At 40.0% G+C, this 24,595-nt stretch overlaps 1 protein-coding gene and 1 pseudogene across 18 annotated transcripts in view, besides 2 other annotated features; one reads left to right on the forward strand and one right to left on the reverse strand.

Annotated features, from left to right (window-relative positions):
* The window catches only part of KIAA0319L (KIAA0319 like), a 124,170-nt gene that overhangs the window by 58,001 nt on the left and 41,574 nt on the right, over positions 1–24,595 (reverse strand). For 17 of the 18 annotated variants that reach the window (XM_006710909.3, XM_017002369.3, XM_047430826.1 and 14 more), the window contains exon 3: positions 15,120–15,643. The exons of the other annotated variant lie outside the window; for it this stretch is intronic. In XM_006710909.3, the coding sequence (XP_006710972.1) occupies positions 15,120–15,643 (524 nt within the window). The remainder of the gene's footprint in view (positions 1–15,119; positions 15,644–24,595) is intronic. 18 annotated transcript variants of the gene reach the window in all.
* Positions 8,336–8,630: an enhancer, noted in NCBI's record as "tiled region #12145; K562 Activating DNase matched - State 5:Enh". NCBI's record gives its function as "activates a minimal TATA promoter and a strong SV40 promoter by Sharpr-MPRA in K562 cells {active_cell/tissue: K562}" and the evidence as "EXISTENCE:reporter gene assay evidence [ECO:0000049][PMID:27701403]".
* Positions 15,724–15,773: an enhancer, noted in NCBI's record as "active region_729". NCBI's record gives its function as "activates an Ori minimal core promoter by ATAC-STARR-seq in GM12878 lymphoblastoid cells {active_cell/tissue: GM12878}" and the evidence as "EXISTENCE:reporter gene assay evidence [ECO:0000049][PMID:35858748]".
* On the forward strand, positions 18,585–19,849 carry LOC100419802 (zinc finger protein 485 pseudogene; annotated as a pseudogene).

Below are 24,595 nucleotides of genomic sequence, written 5' to 3' on the forward strand. Positions count from 1 at the left end.
ACTAGAGCAGATATCTCAACTGAAACAATGCAAGCTAGAAGACATTGACACAGTATCTCGAAAGTACTGAAAGCAAAAAAATAAACCTGTCAACTTGGATTTGTTTAAACAGGGAAAATATTAAATGTAATATTTTAAAAAAAGGATTAGCGCAGAAATCAATAAAATAGAAAACAGAAAAACAATAGAGAAAAACGAATAAAACCAAACATGGTTCTTTGAGAAACATTAACTAGTCTAATCAGGAGAAATGAGACAGCAAGAGCCAGAGCCAGAGCAAGAGACAAGAAGACACAAATGATCAATATGAAGAATGAGAGAGACAATGTAACTAAAGGTTCTACAGATGTTAAAAGGACAGTAAAAGACTATAATGAACTTTATGCAAATAAATTTGACTAATGGCATGAAATGCATAAATTCCTTGAAAGACACAATCTGCCAAAACTCACTCAAGAAGAAAGAGACAGCCTACATAGCAATGTATCTATCACATAAATTGAATTTCTAGTTTAAAACTTTTCACAAAGAAAATTCGAAGTACAGATGGTTCACTGGAGAATTATATTTAACATTTAAGGAATAAATAATACCAATTCTACACAAACCCTCCAGAAAACTGAAGAAAAGGAAAAACTCCTCAACTCATTCTATGAGGCCAGCCAATAAACAGATGTAAAAATTCATGACAAAAATTTGATAAATCAAATATAAAAATACATCAAAATAATATCATGACCAAGCTGGGCGCGGAGGCTCACGTCTGTAATCCCAGCACTTTGGGAAGCTGAGGCAGGTGGATCACAAGGTCAGGAGTTCAAGACCAGCCTGACCAATATGGTGAAACCCCGTCTCTACTAAAAATATAAAAATTAGCTGGGTGTGGTGGCATGCGCCTGTAGTCCCAGCTACTCAGGAGGCTGAGGCAGGAGAATCGCTTGAACCCAGGAGGTGGAGGTTGCAGTGAGCCAAGATCAAGCCACTGCATTCCAGCCTGGGTGACAGAGCAACACTCTGTCTCAAAAAATAATAAATTAATTAATAATAATAATAATAATATCATGACCAAGCGGGGTTTACTCCAGGAATGTAAGGTTGGTTTAACATTTGAAATCAATCATATTATTCACCATATTAACATACTAAAAACAAAAAAAATCATCTCAATAGATGCAGAAAAAGCATTTGACAAAATCCATCAATTATTCCTGATAAAAACTCACATCAAACTAGGAATAGAAAAATTCCCTACAGCTGATGAAAGGTATCTTCAAAAAACCTACAGCTAACATCAGACTTATAGCTGACTTACAGACTTGTTGCTTTCAAAAAACCTACAGCTAACATGTAGACTTTCGCCACTTGGATTCAACACTGTATTGGAGGCCTGGCATGGCGGCTCACATCTGTAATCCCAGCACACTGGGAGGCTAAGGCAGGAAGATTGCTTGAAGCCAGGAGTTCCACACCAGCCTGGACAACAAAGCAAGAGCTCATCTCCACAAAAAGTAAAAATATATAAAAAACATTGTAGTGGAAGTTCTAGCCAGGGCAATAAGGCAAGAAAAAGAAATAAGAGGCATCCAGGTTGGAGAAGAAGTAAAGCTGTCTTTATTTATAGACAACATGATTATATATAGAGAAAATCCTATGGAATCTATACAAAATGCTAACAGAATGAATAAATAAGTTTAGCAAGATTACAAGATACAAGACCAATATACAAAAAGTAATTGTATTCCTATATACCAGCAACAAACAATCAGACACTGGGTTCTTTAAAAACATCAAATATAATAGCATCAAATATATGAAATACACAAATATATATACCTACTATGTACGTACCCACTAAACATTTTTTTAATGAAATACGGATCTGACAAAAGATGTGCAAGATCTCTGTTGGAGGAGGAGGTGCAAAAAAATAAAAATAAAGATGTGCAAGATCTGTACACTAGCTGGGTGCCAGTGTACAGATCTTGCACATTTTTAGATTTTTTTAGAATTACAGATAAACCTGACAAAAGACTGCAAGATCTGTACACCGGTGCCCAGCTGGTATACATGTCTTTCTTGCACATCTTTCATCAGATTTAGCCGTAATCCTAGCACTTTGGGAGGCCGAGGCAGGTGGATCGCTTAAACTCAGGAGTTGGAGACCAGCCTGGGCAACATGGTGAAGCAACAACTCTAAAAAAAATTAGCCAGATGTAGGAGTACACATTTGTAGTCCCAGCTAGTTGGGGGGCTGAGGCAGGAGGATCACTTGAGCCCAGGAGGTCATGGCTGCAGAGAGCCGAGATCACGCCACTGCACTCCAGCCTGGGTGACAAAGTGAGACCCTATCTCAAACAAACAAACAAACAAACAAACAAAAAGATCTGTACACCAAAACTACAACACGTCACTGAGAAAAATTATAGATTATTTAATTAAATGGAGAGATACACTGTGCTCATGGGTCTGAAAATCCAACATTATTATTAGGCTGTTGAGTTTCTCCAAATTGATCTACACTCCCAATACAATCCCACTGAAAATTCCAGAAGACTTTTTAAAAAGAAACTGACAAGATAATTCTAAAATTTATAAGGACATGCAAAAAACCTAAAATGGGCAATTTTGATCAAGAACAAAGTTTTAAACATCATCTGATTTAAACATATATTACAGCCGGGCTCAATGGCTCACACCGGTAATCCCAGCACTTTGGGAGGCCGAGAAAGGTGGATCACGAGGTCAGAAGTTCAAGACCAGCCTGGCCAACATAATGAAACCCCATCTCTACTAAAAAATACAAAAAATTAGCCGGGCATGGTGGTGGGCGCCTGTCATCCCAGCTACTCAAGAGGCTGAGGCAGGAGAATCACTTGAACCCGGGAGGCGGAGGTTAAGGTAAGCCAAGATCGCGCCATTGCAGTCCAGCCCGGGCAACAGTGTGAGACTCCGTCTCAAAAAATAAATAAATAAAAATAAAAAATAAAATAAAATAAACATATATTACAAAGCTAGAGTTAGGCCGGGTGTGGTGGCTCACGCCTATAATCCCAGCAGCTTGGGAGGCTGAGGTAGGTGGATTGCTTGAGTCCAGGAGTTTGAGACCAGCCTGCGCAACATGGTGAAACCCCATCTCCGCTAAAATAACAAAGGGAAAAAAAAAAAACAAACTAGCAGGCATGGTGGTGCATGCCTATAGTCCTAGCTACTTGGGAGGCTGAAGTGGGAGAATCACCTGAGCCCGGAAGGTCAAGGCTGCAGTGGGCCAAGACTGTACCATTGCACTCCAACTGAGCAACCACAGTGAGACCCTGTCTCAAAAAAGAAAGCTACAGTTATCAAGACAGTGTAGAACTCATGTCAATATAGGCAAACAGATAAATGGGACCAAACAGTGTAGAGAAGCAGACCTATAAACATACGCTTAACTGATTTTCAACAAAGGTAAAACGGCAATTCAGTGTAGAAAGGATGGAAAAAATACGGTCCTAAAACAACTGGATATTCATATGCCAAAAAAAAATTCCATCCATAGCTCTCACAATGTACAAAATAACCCTAGACCTAAATGTAAAACCTAAACTTATGAAACTTTTATAGCCAGGTGCGGTGGCTCATGCCTGTAATCCCAGCACTTTGAGAGGACGAGGCAGGTGGATCACCTGAGGTCAGGAGTTTGAGACCAGCCTGGCCAACATGGTGAAACCCCATCTCTACTAAAAATACAAAAATTAACCAGGCGTGGTGGTGCACACCTGTAGTCCCAGCTACTTGGGAGGGTGAGGCAGAAAAATCGCTTGAACCTGGGAGATGGAGGTTGCAGTGAGCCGAGATCATGCCACTGCACTCCAGCCCAGGTGAGACTCTGCCTCAAAAATTAAAAAATAAATAAAATTATGAATCTTTCAGAAGAAAACTTAGGAGAAAATCTTTCTCAGATACAACACCAAAAACACAATCCATAATAGAAATATTAATAAACCAGACTTCATCAAAATTAATATCTGCTCTTTGAAAGACACTGCTAAGAGAATGAAAAGATAAGTTACAGACTGGGAGAGAATATTTGCAAATCACGTATCTGAGAAAGAGCTTGTATGCAGAAAATATATATGTAAGAAAATAACACAGTTTTTTTGTTTGTTTGGTTTTGTTTGTTTGTTTGTTGTTGTTTTTCTAAGATAGGGTCTCACTCTGTCACCCAGGCTAGAGTGTGGTGGCATGATCAAAGCTCACTGCAGCCTCAACCTCCCAGGCTCAAGCAATTCTCCTGCCTCAGCCTCCTGAATAACTGAGACTACAAGTGTGCACCACCACACCCAGATAATTTTTTCCACTTTTTAAAAATGGGGAAAAATATTAACACTCTACAAAAAAAAAAAAAAAAACATGAATGGCAAATAAGCACACAAAAAATATTCAACATCATTAGTCATTAGGAAAATGCAAACCAAAACCACAATGAGATTCAATTAAACACCTATTACAATGTATAAAATTAAAAAGATTCACCATACCAAGTGTTAGCAAGAATGTGGAGCAACTGGAAATTTGATACATTAATCACGGAAATGTAAAATGGTACAACCACTTTGGAAAACACTTGGGCAGTTTGATAAAAAGTTAAATATACCCATACAATATAGGCCGGTTATGGTGGCTCACGCCTGTAATCCCAACACTTTGGGAGGTCGAAATGGGTATATCACTTGAGGTCAGGGGTTCGATACCAGCCTGGCCAACATGGTGAAACCCTGTCTCTACTAAAAATACAAAAATTAGCCGGGGATGGTGGCAGGTGCCTGTAATCCCAGCTACTCAGGAGACTGAGGCAGGAGAATCTCTTAAACCCAGGAAGCGGAAGTTGTAGTGAGCTGAGATGGTGCCAGTGCACTCTAGCCTGGGTGACACAGTGAGACTCCGTCTCAAAAAAATAAAAAATAAAATAAAACATACAATGTAATCCAGCTATTCCACTCCCACATATTTACCCAGGAGAAATTAAAATATATGCTATACAAAGACTTGTACACAAATGTTCCTAGCGTCTTAATCTGTAATAACCAAAATCTGGAAGCAATCCAATATCCATTAACAGGTAAATGGATAAACAAATTATATCTATACAATGGAATACTACTTAGGAATTTTCAAAAGCCAGCTACTAGGTGCTGGGTACAGTGGCTCATGTCTGTAATCCCACCACTTTGGGAGGCCAAGGTGGGCAGATCACCTGAGGTCAGGAGTTTGAGACCAGCCTGGCCAACATGGTGAAAACCCGTCTCTACTTTAAAAAATACAAAAATTAGCTGGGCGTGGTGGCACATGCCTGTATTCCCAGCTACTTGGGAAGCTGAGGCACAAGAATCACTTGAACCCTGGAGGTCGAGGCTGCGGAGAGCAGAAATAGTGCCACTGCACTCCAGCCTGAGCAACAGAGTGAGATTGTGTCTCCAAAAAAAAAAAAAAAAAAAAAAAGCAGCTACTGGCATATGTTATGACATGAATGGACATAAAAACATTACGCTAAGTAGAAGAACCTAAACACAAAAGACTACATATTCCATGATTCCATATTAATGCAAAGTCTAGAAAATGCAAATTTATAGAGACAGCAGATCAATGGATGCCTAGGACTGGGGGTGGGAATAGGGATGGCACACAGGAACTTTTGGATAAATGGGGACAAGGGAAGTTTTGGGGGGGTGATAGAAATGTTATCAAACTGTACGGCAGGAAAAAGACAAAAAAAAAAAAGATGAAATGTTATCAAACTGGATTGTAATAATGATTTACAACTCTATGCATTTACTAAAACCACTGAATTGTATGCTTAAAAGGAATGTTTCCTTATATAAATTATACCTCAATAAAGTCGTTAAAAAGAATACGTATGTAATGTATGATTCAATTTATTTAAAAATTACAGAAAATCTATAATGACTAAAAGCAGATCAATTTTCTAGAGGGGGTGAGAGGGACAGATTACAAAGCGGCAGAAGAAATTTTAGAGTTGATACATATATTCGTTATCTTTTTATGGTGATGGTTTTATAGACATAGAGATAGATATAAATAAACTAACCAAATTGTACACTTTAAACATGTACAGTTTATGATATGACAATTATACTTCAAAAAAGCTGCTTTCTAAAAGTATGGCACCCACAGAAGAACAAGTATTCCATGTGGGTGGAATGGAAAGGAGAAAGGAGTAACAAAAGAGCCATTCATGCACCCAAAAGCGTATTTATAACGATTGCACAATGTCCATTTTCCCCTCATTAGACAGACTGCTTTCATTTTTTTCATAAAATAAGTATCATCTCACCATTGTGTGCAAAGTTTTATTTAGAAACTATTGCTTTAGACAGATTCCCAGAAGTAGAAGAACAGTGTGACTATTTTAAAGTTAGGCAGACAGATTTTCATTTATTAAAATAATTTGTTTTAAAGAAAACCTTGTTTATCATTTTCAAAAATTTATGTACTGTATTTTTAAGGAAACAGAAACAGGAGACATGGAACAAATTATTTTATTTGAGAAACTATGAAGTAGGCTGGGCGCAGTGGCTCACGCCTGTAATCCCAGCACTTTGGGAGGCCAAGGCAGGTGGATCACCTGAGGTCAGGAGTTCGAGACCAGCCTGGCCAACGTGATGAAACCCTGTCGCTACAAAAATACAAAAAATTAGCTGGGTATGATGATGGGTGCCTGTAATCCCAGCTACTTGGGAGGCTGAGGCAGGAGAATCACTAGAACCCAGGAGGCGGAGGTTGAAGTGAGCCGAGATTGCACCACTACACTCCAGCCTGGGAAATAAGTGCGAAACTCCCATCTCGGGAAAAAAAAAAAAGAAACTATGAAGTAATACTAAAAATTTTTAGGGGATAATAAAGGGTTGGATGGAATTTCCTTGAGCAATTTTTTCTGGCACTGGATAGAAATAATAAAAACTAAACCAATTCTGAACAAACCTGTTTCTTCTTCAAGAATTCTTATTCATAATGATGAAAGGTTTCAATTCATATTCTCTTTCTCCATCTCTCCAATTCTCTTCTCTTCTTCCTTCTCCCTTCCTCCCTGCCTCCACTCTGAGGCTACCCTCTCCAAATCAAGTAAGCCAGGCCCAGCAATTAATGTCATAATTAAAGATAACAAAAGAAAACTCTCATCACTATCTATTCCATTTTGAGTAGGAGTCTGTAACGCCACACACAGGATGTTCACACTTACCTGGTTACATAATCACAATCCATATAGGGGTCCTCCTTGGTAAGGAACATGCTATCCTAGTTTCTACTTAATATTAAACAACAGTTTATAAAAATTCAGCTTTCAATACATTTTGATTTGAGACACAATGGTATTGAAATAAAAACCCACCACTGTCATTAATAAAAATCCTACCAATGGAAAGGAATGTCTTCCTGCAGTGGCATTAGTCGGGTCTTCTTCCTGCATTAGTGGGGTCTAATGACACACCACATCCCAATTCTCAGCAACTAAAGCTGAGACTGGAGAATATGGCAGGGTTTATCTTTATAGAAATTAATTAAAAGTTAGTCTTCTGAGAGTCTCCTTAGAGAAACTAAGACCATCCACTAAATAGGAAAGAGAGGGATGACACCTGTGGTGTTAACAAGAGATGGTCAAGTTCTGCCAGTTAGTAAGGAGTTGTTAAGGGACCCACACCAAAATCCCCATCAACTCTTGCTTCGTAGGTGCTACAGACTGAATGTTTGTGTTCTCCCAAAATTCGTATGTTGAAATCTAGCTAACCCCCAAAGTGATGGTATTAGGAGGTAGGGCCTTTGGAAGGTAATTAGGTCATGAAGTTGGAGCCCTTGTGAATGGGATTAGTGCTCTTAGAAAACGGACCAGAGAGAGTTTGTCTTCCTCTTCCACCGTGTGAGAACATAGCTAGAATGCAGTGTCTATGCAGACTGGCCCCTCACTAGACACCAAATCAGCCAGCACCTTCAGCTGGGATTTCCCAGCCTCCAGAACAGTGAGAAATAAATTTCTGTTGTTTATAAACCACCCAGTTTATGGTATTGTTACAGCAGCCTCAATGAATTAAGACAATAAATTAGCTTACAAAGGAGCCAATAAACGCAATTTCAAACTCACTGCACATACTAAAAACTAGATAAGTAGATTAAAGAACCAGAACTATTAGATTAGAGGAGAAAATGGGTAGCTATGAAGGGAAAAAAAAATAAGGAAAGGGTGTTGTGGTCCAAGAACTAACACAACAAAAACAAGCAAACAAGTAAAAACAAGTAAAAAAAAAAAAAAACCCTGAAAAACAAACCCAAAACAACAACAACAAAACATGAAGGGAAACAGCACTGCTTAGGTTTCTGTCATCAGTTACGTAAGATTATCCCTCTGTGGCTGCCCACACCCCACACCTCTATCTTCTGATAAGAGGTAAGCTCAGGCTTTACATGGAGCCAGCACAAGAGTTCTCAGAAAAAGAAGGCAGCAGATGGCTATCTGGGTGCTTGGCTCATTTATCCTCTAAGTCATTTATTTGTTCCACAGAAAGCCACTGGCTTGCTAAGGGTCAAAATGCCGTGTGTGATTATTGACTGGAAACAGGGAGACGATGCTGTTAGAGAGAACAACACTTCAGTCTTCCTACAGTCAAACCTTACATGCAGGGATACCTAAGTGGACTTTCATTTCCTGCGCTCAAATAAAGCACTTTTTTCTCTGGCACATAGCAGGATTGGCAGCAATTAATTGTCAGAACTGCTTAAGCTGTACACATTCTTATAATGTACACAATTAATTGGCTGAACTGCTTATACTGTACACGTTCCAGGACCCAATCAACAAGCCTCTGTGCTCCTCCTGCCAACAATTCAGAGGTTCATGGTACAGAAAGGGTGCAATACTTAAACTAAGCAGGACAGGCTTCACCCTCTTTAAGTTGAGAAACGGGAATATATTGATGACATTCCTTTCTACTTTTGGAATTGCAAAAGGTCCACAATATCTGCCTTTGGATTCAATATATGTATATTTCCAAAAGAGTGAAAAATGCAGACTGACAATCCAAATGCCTTTGCAGCTCTGCAGGCAGGCAAGACAAAAGCAATTTATGATACAATTTCTCTCCACTTTGGATGCAGAGTTGCTTGACCTACCTTAGTGAAAACAGCACAAACTAGAAACTGGTGCTGCTCGCCAGTCATCCCTAATTAGAATGAGATCTGCAGTGCATACTTTTCTCTTCCCTTCCCTAGTGCATTAAGCAGAAGTTTGAACTCCCAAGTTCTCTCCCAAAAGAAATGCCAAGGCAATTCTCAATGCACAAGGCAATCTTACCACCTTTCCAGAGCTATACATGGCCTTCAGGGTAAGAAGCTAGCTCCTAAGCATGATATATAAGGTCAAATATAACTTATCTGGATCTGAAGATTTCACTTTGCCCCATTTTTTTTTTTTTAGCAATACTTGCAGTTCTCAATATGTAATGCCAAGCTTTGTAATGCCTCCGTGCAACACTGCATGCAGCAAAAGCCCACTCCCAGTCCTGGGGTTCATAGTTCAAATTCAATATTCCTCCCCTCATGTCTATCCACTCTCCACATTAGACCACAAAGGTCTTGAAATCCTACTCACCAGCAGCAATTTCTTGCCACTGCCCACTAATGGTAAACTAGAAGAAAGAATTCTCTATAGCCAACACATCCTCAGGATCTTCCTTCCAGCATACACCTGAATTCTGTAAGACCCAAGTTTGAATTTTCACCATCCTCCAGGAGACTGTCAGATCTAAATCTACCATTTTTCTAACTTATCCATTTCTAATTTCACGGGCCATAATTATCCTATAGTATGCTGGAGGTATTTTCTTTGCTGCTGCTTCCCAATGTCCTCTGCAAACCATTATTCTTCTACCTCCCTGTGAAAACCTCTTCTCCTTTGCCATCTTGCTGCCACTTCAACTCTCATTGCAGCTATCATCTCCCAATTTACTCGTCACTCTTCCTATTTTACTGGTGACTTTGACATCTGGCTTTCAAAAGTCCTCCTCATCCCAAGTCCTACCTGAACAGTAAGAAAGGACAGGCCAGTAAGAGGACAGGCCAGGCGTGGTGGCTCACGCCTGTAATACCAGCACTTTGGGAGGCCGAGGCAGGCAGATCACCTGAGGTCAGGAGTTTGAAACCAGCCTGACCAACATGGAGAAACCCTGTCTCTACTAAAAATACAAAAAATTAGCTGGGCGTGATGGCTCATGCCTGTAGTCCCAGCTACTCGGGAGGCTGAGGCAGACGAATTGCTTGAACCCGGGAGGTGGAGGTTGCAGTGAGCCAAGATCGCACCATTGCACTCTAGCCTGGGCAATAAGAGCAAAATTCCATCTCAAAAAAAAAAAAAAAAGAGGACTGAGTCCGTACAGAATCAGCCTGCTTAGGTTCAAGTCTTGGTTGTACCACATACCTAGCTGTGTTGCCTGAGTTTCCTCATTTATAAAACAGGAACGGGCAGGCACAGTGACTCATGCCTGTAGTCCCAGCACTTTGGGAGGCAGAGGCAGGCGGATCACGAGGTCAGGAGATCGAGACCACCCTGGCCAACATGGTGAAATGCCATCTCTACTAAAAATACAAAAAAAGTCGCTGGGTGTGCCACACCCCTGTGGTACCAGCTACTCTGGAGGCTGAGGTAGTAAAATCACTTGAACCCAGAGGCAGAGGTTGCAGTGAGCCAAGATCGCACCACTGCACTCCAGCCTGGTGACACAGTGAGACTCTGTCTCAAGAAAAAAAAAAAAAGAAAAAAAAAACAGGAACAGTAATAGTAATTCACAAGATTTGCTGTATAGATTAAGAGTTAATACACGTAAAGGGTTCTGAATGGTACCTGGCATATAGTAAATGCTCAGTAAACATCAGTTATTGCTGCTGTCATCATCATCATCATCATCATCATCATCATCATCATCACCATCACCATCATTAAAGACTACCTCAGTGTCCACATGGGTAACTCATTTAACACGTTCTTTGAGCTTGCTGGGTTCTTTGAGCTCCTTGCCTCCAATAAACTTCTTCTCCACTCTACCCCAGCAACCCTCTTCCACAGCTCACCCTAGATTCTGCCATCAGAACTTTACCACCTCCAAAATCTTAAATTCAAATATTACATACTCTGACCACCGCCTCCTATCCTTCCAGCACTCACAATTACCCATTCCTCTGACATCTGCTTCCCATCATGGTAACCACTAAATGCCAAACTTGTCTACTTCTGTAGCGCCTTGCTATCTTTGCCTCTTTTTATACTTTCTCATACTATCTCTCATCACTCTTTTTACAACAACCTCGATTTCCATACCTCATTTTCCTTCTGTACAAACTACCTAGCAAAGTTCCTATCTTGGATGAATCAAATTATCAGGCTTTTCTTGACAGAGTTGCTGAGAGCTACTGAGGAGAATCACACAACTTAAAGATCAGTACCACTGTTATAAATGCATGATCTCCATCTTCAAGGCTACCCAGCAATATTTCTATTTTCTTACCTAGTTTGCCATCTTCTATCCTTCACGATGGCTATTTTAGACCTTTACCCCACTCTCTAAACCTCTGATTTTCCTGTCTATTACCCACTCCCCCCAATCCCATCTACCTCTACCTCTGTTTCTACTATCCATAAATGATCTATCACACTTAAGAAAAAACAAGAAAGAGATGAGAACTACAACAATTTCCTTCTACCCAGTATATAAACCCACCCTAGCTGTGTCCTACCCAATCCTTTCTCTCTGTCACAATGAAGGAAGTATCCTGCTTAAGACTAATACTGTACTCTGTGCTCAGTATTCTAACCTTCCTGCCCTATAAGGCAGTGGTTCTGGTCCCTGGGCAGCAGCATTGGCACACTCCAGGAACTTTCTGGAAATGCAAATTCTCAGAACATACTCCAGACCTACCGAGTCAGAAACTATGGAGTTGGGGCCCGGCAATCTTTTTTATTTCCATCTCTTCAGAGCAAGAAACAAAGACCAATTTATTTTTAACAAGGCCTTCAAGTGAGTCTGATGCATGCTAAAGTTTGAGAACCACAGCTCTAAGGGATTATTCATTATTTATCCCTTTTCCTGTCTTTAATCTCCTTTTTTAGTACAATGGTTCTCTTGCCTGAAAAGCCTCCTATTTTACCAGGCCATATACAGTTGGCCCTTAAACAACACAGGCTTGAACTGCGCAGGTTCATTTATATGTGAATTTTCTCGTGCCTCTGCCGCCTGAGACAGCAAGACCAACTACTCCTCTTCCTCAGCCTACTCAACGTGAAGACAATAAGGATGCCTATAAGATGATCCACTTCCACTTAATGAATACTAAGTATATTTTCCCTTGTGATTTTCTTTTTTTTTTTTTTTTGAGACAGAGTCTTGCTGTGTCGCCCAGGCTGGAGTGCAGTGGTGCAATCTCGGCTCACTGCAACTTCCACCTCCTGGGTTCAAGCGATTCTCATGCCTCAGCCTCCCAAGTAGCTGGGATTACAGGTGTGCACCACCTCACCTCGCTAATTTTTGTATTTTTAGTAGAGGCGGGGTTTCACCATGTTGGCCAGGCTGGTCTTGAACTCCTGACCTCAATTGATACACCTGCCTCAGCCTACCCCAGTGCTGACATTACAGGCATAAGCTGCCGTGCCCAGCCCCTTATGATTTTCTTCCCTTTTTTTTTTTGAGACAGAGTCTTACTCTGTTGCCCAGGCTGGAGTGCAGTGGCGCAATCTTCGCTCACTGCAAGCTCCACCTCCCAGGTTCACGACATTCTCCTCCCTCAGCCTCCCGAGTAGCTGGGACTACAGGCGCCTGCCACCACGCCCGGCTAACTTTTTGTATTTTTAGTAGAGACAAGGTTTCACCGTGTTATCCAGAATGGTCTCGATCTCCTGACCTTGTGATCCGCCCGCCTTGGCCTCCCAAAGTGCTGGGATTACAGGCATAAGCCATCACACCCAGCCAATTTTCTTAACATTTTATCTAGTTTAAGAATACAGTATATAATGCATATGACATACATAATATGTGTTAATCGACTGTTTATCTTATTGGTAAGGCTTCCAGTCAACAGCAGGCTTTTAGTAGCTACATTCTGGGGGATTCTGAAGTTTATGCAAATTTCCAACTGCACAAAGGGTTGACATTCCTAACCCCTACACTGTTCAAGGGTCAACTGTATATTCTCGCCCTTTCCAGTCTACTCACCACATAGCCACTATCTGATTATGTCATTCCCTACTTAAAACTCCCTAATGGTTTCCCACTGATCTTCAGATAAAAACCAGTATTTTAATAAGGCCTCAAGGTTCTGCATACCTCTCAAGACTTCTCTTTCACCACCAGCTCTCTTTCTCCGTTTGCCCAGCAACACCAGTCTCTCCCAATTTCTTGAGCTCGCCATATTCTAGGGCACCTAACACACTTTGAAATTGTTATTTCCTCTGCCTGAAATACTCTTTTTCCCTGTTTCTTTTCCGAATTCCTACTTCAAATATCAGCTTAAACTTTCTTTCTTTAAAGTGGCCTAACCTGACACCTTAGTTTGTATTAGGTGCCTGTTGGATGCTTTCACGGCACTCTGTATTTACCCTCTCATTACCCACATCAAGCTTATAATTATTATAATAATTTAATTATTAGAAATGTAATATTCCTTGCCAGAGTATAAGCCTTGTTAAGGCAGAAATGATATTCATCTTATTTATTGTAATATTCCCAGTATCCAGCTTAGTATAGTACCTCGCAAGTAAATACACAATGACTATGACCGAGCCTTTACATACACTGTGGCTCTGTCCAGAATGTTTTTTTACCACCATTAACCCCACCCCAGTACAATCCTACACATCCTTCAAGAAATGTTAAACATCTCGGAGAAGTCTTACCTGCACATACACACCACTTGCCTGCTGAAGTGAATCACTTCTTGTGTTCTTACTGCATTGTGTACATAAGTATGTTAATGCAATAATTATACACCACTGTAAATACCTATCTTCATGTATCAGTCTCCACTAGATTATAAACTCCCTGAGGGAATGAACCATTCTTATTCACCTTTGTATCTCTAAGGCTTAGAAAAGTGCCTGACATTGACAGTAGGTAGCCATAAATGTTTATGGGCATATTAAATCTAGGATTGTTCTCTAATACTGCACTAAAAAGTTTTTTTCTTAATATTAAATCTGGGTTCCAATTCTAGCTATGCTGCATGATCACTGGCAAACTGTTTAACCTCTCTGGGCCTCAGTTTTCTCACCAGGTAAACAGGGCTAATAATGCCTACTTGGAAATATTGCTATGAAAATTAAACAAAATGATACAGTGCAACAATTAGTACACAGAGCGCTTGGCATGTCATAGCCCACTCTGGCTTCAACTTGATAGAGACAACTAGGACAAAACAAATACAAAAATAAGTCACAGCAATCAAGGAAGACTGAGCAGAGAGTGAGTCATTCCTTTTAATCATTTCCCCAAGGAGATCAACAATGAAGAAACATAATAAGCAGAATAAACTCTACTGGTGGTATCTCCCTTGGCATATACAGCTTGGTGAGAATTCACTCCAGAGACCTCTTGGCTAATGGCCACATCCTGCTCCACAGCCCAGCAGGTCAGATCTTAATCTGTAGTACCAAGCATGGTTAATTCTGACTGGAATAGAAACTACCTCATAAAGAATGTGTTTACAGGCGAGAGATGGAGGAGAACTTGACTGTAACCACATCAATCAACTGTTTTGCAATTTGGCAGAAAATACTGCAGAATGGTTGGTGAATACTAACAGCCATACAACTGTACTTACCTGTAGCCAAGAACCAGCTTAGACTAGATAATGAGCAGCTTTCTGCATTTACCAAAACAATGGTCAGACCTACATAGCATGAACATCTCTAGGGTCAAATTACCCTTTGTACATCTGGGCAGCACCAAAGAAGCTGACACCAAGCAGCTTTATATATACACTCCTCAGCCTATGAGCACTGCCCGCAAGCATCAGCTTCATTGCTCATATATACCAAATGTAAGAGCAGATTTAACCATTTCTCTGCTCCTTATTCATAGCATGCTTACCTCTGCAGAGCCACTGGTAGTCAGACCACCTAATTCGTTGGAGTCATTCACTTTAGAATGCTGTGTCACTATAGGTGTAACTACGTCACTGGGACTACCTCTCTTCTGAAGCTTCCTGATTAAGCTCTGCTGGTCACTGGAAGATACAGCAGGTCTGAGTGCAGCTCTGGGTGGGCTCTGCCTCCAAGATGCCCAGTTCCAACCTAGCCCCAGAAGATGTGGTACATCATCTTCAGGTAGAAAGCCCAAATCATCTGCAGTTTGGAATTTTTTTAAAAACACCAGCATGGAATTGGAGGAGTGTGTCCTAAAAGCCCGGCAGCTCTGGGGCCTGCTGCAGTCTGCCTGAATGCACATCCCTTCTAGCCACCAAAAGACATGGCAGGCAGAGTCCTGGCAGCAGGCAGCCCAACATGACTGGAGAGAGGGGGTTCCTTCAAGAAGCCAGAGGTGATTTTCTCCCCCAGATCTCAGGCCAACTCCAAATTGTGTCTTCCCCTGCTGGCACCTGCTCTCACTGGCATCTAAAAACAAAGAATGAAAACATTTTCAGATGAAATAAAAACAGAGACTACTGCTCCATAAAGAGCCCTGAGAACCAACATTTGAGGTTATTTTGAAGACGAGTTTTTAAGAGGGTGAGAAAGCCATCTAGTGAGTGGAACAAAGGAAGTGAAAGAGAGTGTTTTTTGTCTTCGGATATTTTAGGTTCTAGAAATACTGCTCCACATTCATTAATTGTTCTCCTTCTCAATGAGTTCCTGCCATGGAGACCTTTTACACAGAATGTCACTTCATAAACAGGAAAACAAAAACAAAAACAAAAACAAAAAAAGAGGTATTCTGGTGGAAGCATATGCAGGGAAGTGGCAAGTTGGGAGGAAGAGGGCAGAGTCCCAATACCTGATGACCTCCCACTCACCTCCAAGGTATTTCTCAGGGACAATGTGAGAACTGTGGGACCAGAAGAACAGGTAGCAATGTGAGAACTGTGGGACCAGAAGAACAGTTTCCCCAGCAAACTGGCAGCAACACAGACTGAGTACTCTGAACCTCATGCAGTTAATAGGCACATTCATTCTTTAACCAATCATTTGCCAAAGTCAAATGGTTTTGCATATCATAGTATCAGCCAGAGTGGTAGTCAAGATTACCAAAAATTTTAACCACGAGAGCAATTCTGCTAGAAAGAACTTCCTAATGACAAGTCATGTCATGATAAGAAATAATGGAACCTAAGTACAACAGTGACATGCTATGGGTAACCTAAATAATATGATCCAAAATTCTGGCTAATGTTGCTGATGGATAAACTTTGGACTGTTTTAATTATTTCAGGTATGGCATTGATTTTTCTGAAATAGTATCTCACCTCTGTTTTCTTAGATGAAGTCAAAACTTGTTCTAAATGGAAGTGATTATGTGAGTTCATTTTAAGGTACTGGCTCTATAGGTGTCTATTACCAGCTATTGTCAGGGTTATATAGAAACAGAACTAGGGTGAGGCAAGAGAGGTGCCTCAGGCACAAAATTTAAGGAGGTGCTCACTTTCAGAGTCATTCCAGCAAAGGGTTGGCTCACAGGACCTTCATAGTGAGTGTCTCTTTAAATTCTGTGTTCTGGGCACCTCTCTCCTTACCCTAGTCCTGGCCCTGGGCTTATAACATAAAATATATGTTAGAATTACATAGAAAAAATATGCAATAGAATCAAAACACTGAAGATATGGATAATCATGTCTGCATGTACACACAACTGAAAAGACCTCTAACGAAAGCAACTGACAATCAGCCAAAGCCAATCTGACTCCCACGGAATACTTACTAAATGTCCAACGGACTAAATGTGGAAACTAATCAAAGATAAAAGGAAGGTAAAGGCAAGCTTCTAGAGTATTGAGTCAGGAGCACTATGGAAGCCAGCACTGGCACCAACCTAACACCAGACGAGGCAATTTAGAAGGCCACAGAAAATAGAACTCCCTTAAAAAAAAAGATGAAGAATACCAACTACGAAAAAAAAATCAAGCTACCAACAGATACAGAAATACCCCCTCATTTTTATTTATCCTTCCACACAGGCACCAATAGTAAGAATCTCGGTAACAGCTAACTGAGTGAACAGACTTTGTTGAAATCAAATTGTTTTATCAGTAACTACTATTTTTACCTTTATATCAATTTTCCTTCATTCTTCTCATAACTATTTTCTCATACTTAAGAGGTCAACACAGATGAAAATTATCTGTGCTTTTTTCTAAGCTGATATATTATTTAATTTTTAAAAATGCAATACAACTTCCACTTCTGCTCTTGAAGAAGGAATTGCTATGGGGCTTGCCTTCCCACCATGAATAACTAGAAAACTAGACAAAATATATAAAGCAACTGTTTTTAGACACTGGACAACAGGCAGTGCAGGACTATGATCCCTGAAAGGAAACAAACCAGGTGAGCTCTATGAATCCCTTGGCTTTCTGCTGGAGGCATGCTCCAGACTGTGGCACAGGCAAGAAGAAGGCAAGCATAACAGGGCAGTTGCTAAATTGAGGAGACGGAGTTCAGGGTGACTGGTAGTTAGAATGTTTAAACAAAGTACCAGAAAGGAGGAAGCTACACAGAGAAAGAGCTTCAGAAATCTGAACAGTAGTCACCTTCAGTTTTGGCTGAACACTGATTTACTAAGGTATAGGTTGAAACTGCATGAGGGAAATTAGAAAATATTTTGAACAGAATGAAAATAACACAATATATAAAAATGTGTGGGATACAGTTAAAGCAATGTCTAGAGGGACATTCGTAATTTTAAATGCTTATTTCAGAGAAGAAAAGTCTATAAAATCAATGATTTAGAGAGACACATGGAGAAAACGACATGTGATGACAGAGGCAGAGATTGGAGCAATACGGCTGCAAGCCAAGGAAAGCCAGGATTGACAGCAACCACTAGAAGCTAGGGGGAGGCAAGGAAGGAATTCCACCTCCAGTCTCCAAAGACATCAACCCTTCTAACACCTTGATTTTGGATTTCTAGCCTCCATAACTATTAGCATACACAGGGTTCTCTGCTCTTATCTGGGAGACAGTTCAGGAGACAGATGGCCCAAATCCAGGGATCACTAACATCTGGGGATGTGGCTGTGGCCTGCACCCAGGTCGAATGGAGATAACCTAATAATACACTTAACAGGACCTGTACAGCCATGTGATGCTGGAAAACTATGGGAATCTTGTGCCTGTGGGTTTCTCTCTTTCAAACCAAAACTAATCACCCAACTGCAGCAAGGAGCCTGGATGGAGGCGTCAGAACTGCGTCAGGTACCTCTGCAGTCCAGGAGTACTGGTTTGAAACAAAGATCTTAACCCTAAAGCAAAATACTCTGAAGTTCTGCAAGAGCAAACAAAAAGTGTCATGATAGAAAGAGGCCTGGATTGAGAGGGAGGAGGTTCCACAGAGATGCGGTGCTATAAATGAAAAGAATGTGGGAAAGTACAATTCGAATACAACTCTTCCTCTTTTAGCCACCAGAGCAATCATACTAGTGAGAAACCCCATAAATATAAAGAATGTGGAATAGTCTTCATGAGCAGACTATCCTACTATCACCCCTTTCAAATCATCATAAGCTCACACAGGCGAGCAACTTTACAGATGTACTGAATGTGGCAAATTCCTCAAGCACTCAACATTTATTAATCATCAGAGAACTTATTCTAGAGAGAAATACCAATAAACGTGAAAAAGCTTTCAGAAAAAAACAGCCCTTTCTTTTTTTTTTTTTTTTTGAGAAGGAGTCTCACTCTGTCACTGCAGAGCAAGGCGTGAGCCACCACGCCTGGTCAAAACTGTCCTTTCAAGTCATCAGAGAATTCATACAGTCAGGAACTCTACAAACACGACTGTGGGAAACTGTTCAGAAGGCAGTCGTTACTCATCAGGAGAGAAAACACAGTGGAGATAAGCCTTTTAAAAACATTTATTTATTTATTTATTTATTTATTTATTTATTTATTTAGAGACAGGTTCCCACTCTATTGCCCAGGCTGGAGAGCAGTGGCACATCATGACTCGATGCAGCCTTGACCTTCGGGCCCAAGCAATCCTCCTGACTCAGCCTCCCAAGATGCTAGGACTACAGGTGAGCATCACTGTGTCTGGCTAATTTTTTAACTTTTTGTCAGAGATGGGGTCTCCCTATGTTGCCCAGGCTGCTCTTGAACTCCTGGGTTCAAGCAATCCCCTGACCTTCGCTTCCCAAAGTGTTGGGATTACAGGTGTGAGCCACTGCGCCTGGCTGAAAAAAAAAAGCCTTTTAAATGTAAGGAATGTGGGAAAGCTTTCAGAGATAACTCAACTTTGTTGGAGCATCAGAAAAACCATCTTAGTGAAAAAGTACATTGGTGTAATAAATACAGAAAAGCCTTTAGTAAGAGCTTGACTCTTATTAGTCATCAAAGATTTCATACAGGAGAGAAACTCTATCACCATATTAAATGTGAAATCTTTTTCAGGTATAGAAAGATTTGCTGGGCAAATCTCCTTTGCTGGGCATCAGAAAACTCATAGTGGAAATAAACCCTATCAGGGCAATGACTGTAGGAAAGCCTTTACAAAGAGCTCAACTCTTATTGGACATCAAGGAATTCATACTGGGGGGAAAAAAAAACAAAAAACCAAAAACCTTTCACTATAAGAAATGTGGGAAAGCCTTCGGGTACAGCCAAGGCCTTGCTGAAAATCAGAAAATCCATATCTTATGAATGTAATGAATGTGGGAAGCTTTTCCCCAAAGTTCAGCCCTTAAACAACATAAGAAAATTTATAACAAAGTCATCAAGCCAGGCATGGTGGCTCATGCCTATAATCCCAGCACTTTGGGAAGATGAGGTGGGAGGACCACTTGAGCCCATGAGTTCAAGACCAGACTGGGCAACATAGTGAGACCCCATCTCTACAAAAGATAAAAATTACTAAAAAATAACATTTTTAAAAAGAATGGGTCATCAAATGTAGTGTGGTAAACATGCAAAAGTAGTTTATTTCTTCTGACCATCAAAGAGGAGATATTTAATAAGTGCACCGCTATCTAGAAGCCTTCTCATTTGTAAGGATGTTCACTGTAGTATGGTTTGTATTAGTGAAATAGCTGAAGAACCTAAATGTCTGTCAGTATGGAAATAGTTGCTGCAGAATACTATGTACCATTTGAAAGAAATGGCATAGAATTTTATATACAGCCATAGAAATATCCCCCCTCATAACTTAAGTGGAAAAAGCAAGTTGCAGAAAATCTATATATTATGTTCTTATTTATATTTTTAACAATGAAGCTATTTTTGTTTGTCCACATATATTACCTGGATTCAAAAAGATCTAAGCCAGGCGTGGTGGCTCATGCCTGTAATCCCAGCACTTTGGGAGGATGAGGCAGATGGATCACTTGAGGTCAGGAGTTCGAGACCAGCCTGGCCAACATGGCAAAACCCCGTCACTACTAAAAATACAAAAATTAGCCAGGTGTGGTGGCACACATCTGTAATCCCAGTTACTCAGAAGGCTGAGGCAGAAGGATTGCTGGAAATGGGAGGGGGAGTTGCAGTGAGCCAAGAGCATGCCACTGTACTCCAGCCTGGACAACAGAGCAAGACTCTGTCTCAAAAAAAATAAATAAATAAAATAAAATAAAAAGATCTGGAAAAATAAAAGCCAAACTTTGACCAAAAAAAAAAAAAATCAATGATCTTTGCTTCCATCATAAAATCTGGGGAAAAAAAAGAGTAAATTAAACCCCAAAGTAAGTAAAGGAAAGAAATGATAAAGAGAAGAGTAATCGAACAAAAAACAATAGAGAAAAATCAAGGAAACAAAAGCCTAGTTGTTCAAAAGATCAATAAAGCTGATAAATCTCTAGTCGGACTGACCACGGGAAAAAAAAGGAGTAGTCAAAAGTTACCAGAATCAAGAATGAAAGAAGGGACCAGGTGCAGTGGCTCATGCCTGTAATCCCAGCACTTTGGGAGGCTAAGGCAGGCAGATCACTTGAGGTCAGGAGTTCAAGACCAGCCTGGCCAACATGGTGAAACCCCATCTCTACTAAAAATACAAAAATTAACTGGGCATGGTGGCATTCACCTGTAATTCCAGCTACTTGGGAGGCTGAGGCAGGAGAATCACTTGCCTCACCCAGGAGGTGGAGGTTGCAGTGAGCCGAGATCGCACCACTGTACTCCAGCCTGGGCAACAGGACGAGACTCCATCTCAAAAAAAAAAAAAAAAAAAAAGAATGAAAGAAGGGATATTACTACAGATTCAATAAACCAGGGGCTATACACTATAGCCCAGGGGCCAATTTAGGCTGCTGCCTATTTTTATAAATAAATTTTTATTGGAACTCATTTATGTATGTGTTATCTATAGTTGCCTTTGCTCTACCATGGCAGAGTTAAGTAGTTGTAACAGAACTTAACAGCCCACAAAGCCTAAAATATTTACTATCTGGCCCCTTAAGAAAAAGCTTGTCAACCTCTGGTCTAAGAGAATGTACCTTTGTTTGATTCACTATTTACTACTGAGTAGAGCTTAAATTTAGACGTTAACTTATAGAATATGTTACAAATGATTTTGATTTATATATATATAAATCATATCTATATAACATATATATATATATATATATATTTTTTTTTTTTTTTTTTTCTGTCCAGTATAAAATATAACCTCTGGCTGCACATGATGGCTCACTCCCATAATCCCAGCACTTTGGAAAGCTGAGACAGGAGAATAGTTTGAGCTCAGAAGTTTGAGACCAGCCCAGGCAACATAGCGAGACCTTGTCTTTACTAAAAATTTTAAAAAATCAGCCAGGTGTGGTGGTGTGCACTTGTAGTCCCAGCTACTCAGGAGGCTGACGCAGTAGGATTGCTTGAGCTTGGGAGATACTGGCTGCATTAAGCTATGATAATGCCATCACACTCCAGCCTGGGAGACAGTAAGATCCTGTCTCAAAAAATAAAACAAAACAAAAATAATATACATAACTTCCAATGTTTTAGTTTTAGTGTTCTGTAAGATATTAATATTTCACATCTAACTTACAAACTTATTTCATCATTCTTTTCCTGACTGACAATATAAATTTGTATTTCTTAAAAGCAGCTTTACTGCCCACTGATTCCCTTACTCATGAGTTAAATCTCTGACAAACGTTTCCTTTATATTTGTGAGAGTGATGTCTTTAACACTTTGAAATTTATATACTCAAACACACAAGGTTCACATTCATTTACAGAGGCCACAAAACATAGGAGAATTACCAAATTTCAGGGAAAGAAATATTTTAAAAATATATTTAGTTCAATTCCCATCTAGAGCTAAAATCCCCTCTAAAACAATTCAAAGTATTTTCCAGCCTTTTAAATTACCTCCTGTAGTTGAGAATTCATTAACAAGGCAGGCAATTCTAAATTTGTATATTCTAGTCTATTAGTTCTTCCTGGGGTAATGGTTAAGTGAATTACGGCATAGCAACTTAACGACTATCATTAAAAGATCATTATAAAGACCAGGTGGCAAGATGGAAAATTGTTTACAATGTAACCCTAAGAGTAAAAAGCTAAATATAAAAGTGCACACATAGTCGGGCTGACAACCAAAATGTCTATAAATGGGCAAGAGATGAAAGTAAACACATATGAAATCAACAAACATTTACGAACATTTACTGTGTTGGAAAGTATCATCGATGCTAGGGATTAAAAAAAAAAAACAAAACTTACAAAATGGACTAAATGCCCCCACTTAAAAGGCACAGAGTGGCAACCTGGATAAAAAACAAGACCCAATGGCATTCTGTCTTCTCACTTCTCACTTGTAAGGATGAGCGACACATAATGACACTCACAGGCTCAAAATAAAGGGATGGAGGAAAGCCTACCAAGCAAAGAGCAAAGGGAAAACTGAAAAAAGTAGGAGTTGCAATCCTAATTTCAGACAAAACAGATTTTAAACCAACAAAGATCAAAAAAGACAAAGAAAGGCATTACAAAATGGTTAAAGGGTCAATTCAACAAGAAAACCTAACCATCCTAAATATATCTGGACCCAACACAGAAGCACCCAGATTCATAAAGCAAGTTCTTAGAGACCTACAAAGAAACGTGGACTCCCACACAATAACAGTGGGAGACTTAAACACTCCACTGACAGTATTAGACAGATCACTGAGGCAGAAAATTAACAAAGATATTCAGGACCTGATCTCAACATTGGACCAAAGGGATCTGATAGACCTCTACAGAACTCTTCAACCAAAAACAACAGAATATACATTCTTCTTATAGACACATGGCACATACTCTAAAATTGACCACATAATTGGACATAAAACAATCCTCAGCAAATGCAAAAGAACCAAAACTAAGGCCGGGTGCGGTGGCTCACACCTGTAATCCCAACACTTTGGGAGGCCGAGGCAGGTGGATCACTTGAGGTCAGGAGTTTGAGGCCAGCCTGGCCAACACGGTGAAACCCCATCTCTATTAAAAATACAAAATTAGCCGGGTGTGCTGGCACACACCTGTAATCCCAGCTACTTGGGAGGCTGAGATAGGAGAATTCCTTGAACCTGGGAGGCAGAGGCTGTAGTGAGCTGAGATCGTGCCATTGCACTCCAGCCTGGACAAAAAGAGTGAAACTCCATCTCAAAAAAAAAAAAAAAAGAACCAAAATTGTACCAAACACACTCTTAGACCACAACACAATGAAAATAGAAGTCAAAACTAAGAAAATCACTCAAAACCATGCAATTACATGAATTACATGAAAATTAAACAACATGCCCCTGAATGACTTTTGGGTAAATAATGAAATTAAGGCAGAAATCAAGAAGTTATTTGAAACTAATAAGAACAAAGATACAACATACCAGAATCTCTGGGACACAGCTAAGGCAGTGTTAAAAGGGAAATTCATAGCACTAAATACCCACATCAAAAGGTTAGAAAGATCTCAAATTAACAACCTAACATCACAACTGAAAGAGAAGCAAGAACAAATCAAACCCAAAGCTAGTAGAAGACAAGAAATAACCAAAATCGGAGCTGAATTGAAGGAAATCAAGACACAAAAAAAATTCAAAAGATCAACAAATCCAGGAGTTGGTTTCTTGAAAAAATTAATAAGATAGGCCACTAACTAAACTAATAAAGAAGAAAAAGAGAGGATATCCAAATAAACACAATTAGAAATGATGAAGAGGATGTTACCACTGACCGCCCAGAAATAAAAATAACCATTAGAAGCTACTTGATCACCTCTATGCATACAAACTAGAAAACCTGGAAGAGATGGATAAATTCCTGGACACATACACCCTCCCAAGATTGAACCAAGAAGAAACTGATTCCCTGAACAGACCAATAATGAGCTCTAAAACTGAATCAGTAATAAATAGCCTACCAACCAAAAAAAGCCCAAGA

Source organism: Homo sapiens, chromosome 1, assembly GCF_000001405.40.
Source record: "Homo sapiens chromosome 1, GRCh38.p14 Primary Assembly".
In the NCBI taxonomy this organism is placed as follows: domain Eukaryota; kingdom Metazoa; phylum Chordata; class Mammalia; order Primates; family Hominidae; genus Homo; species Homo sapiens.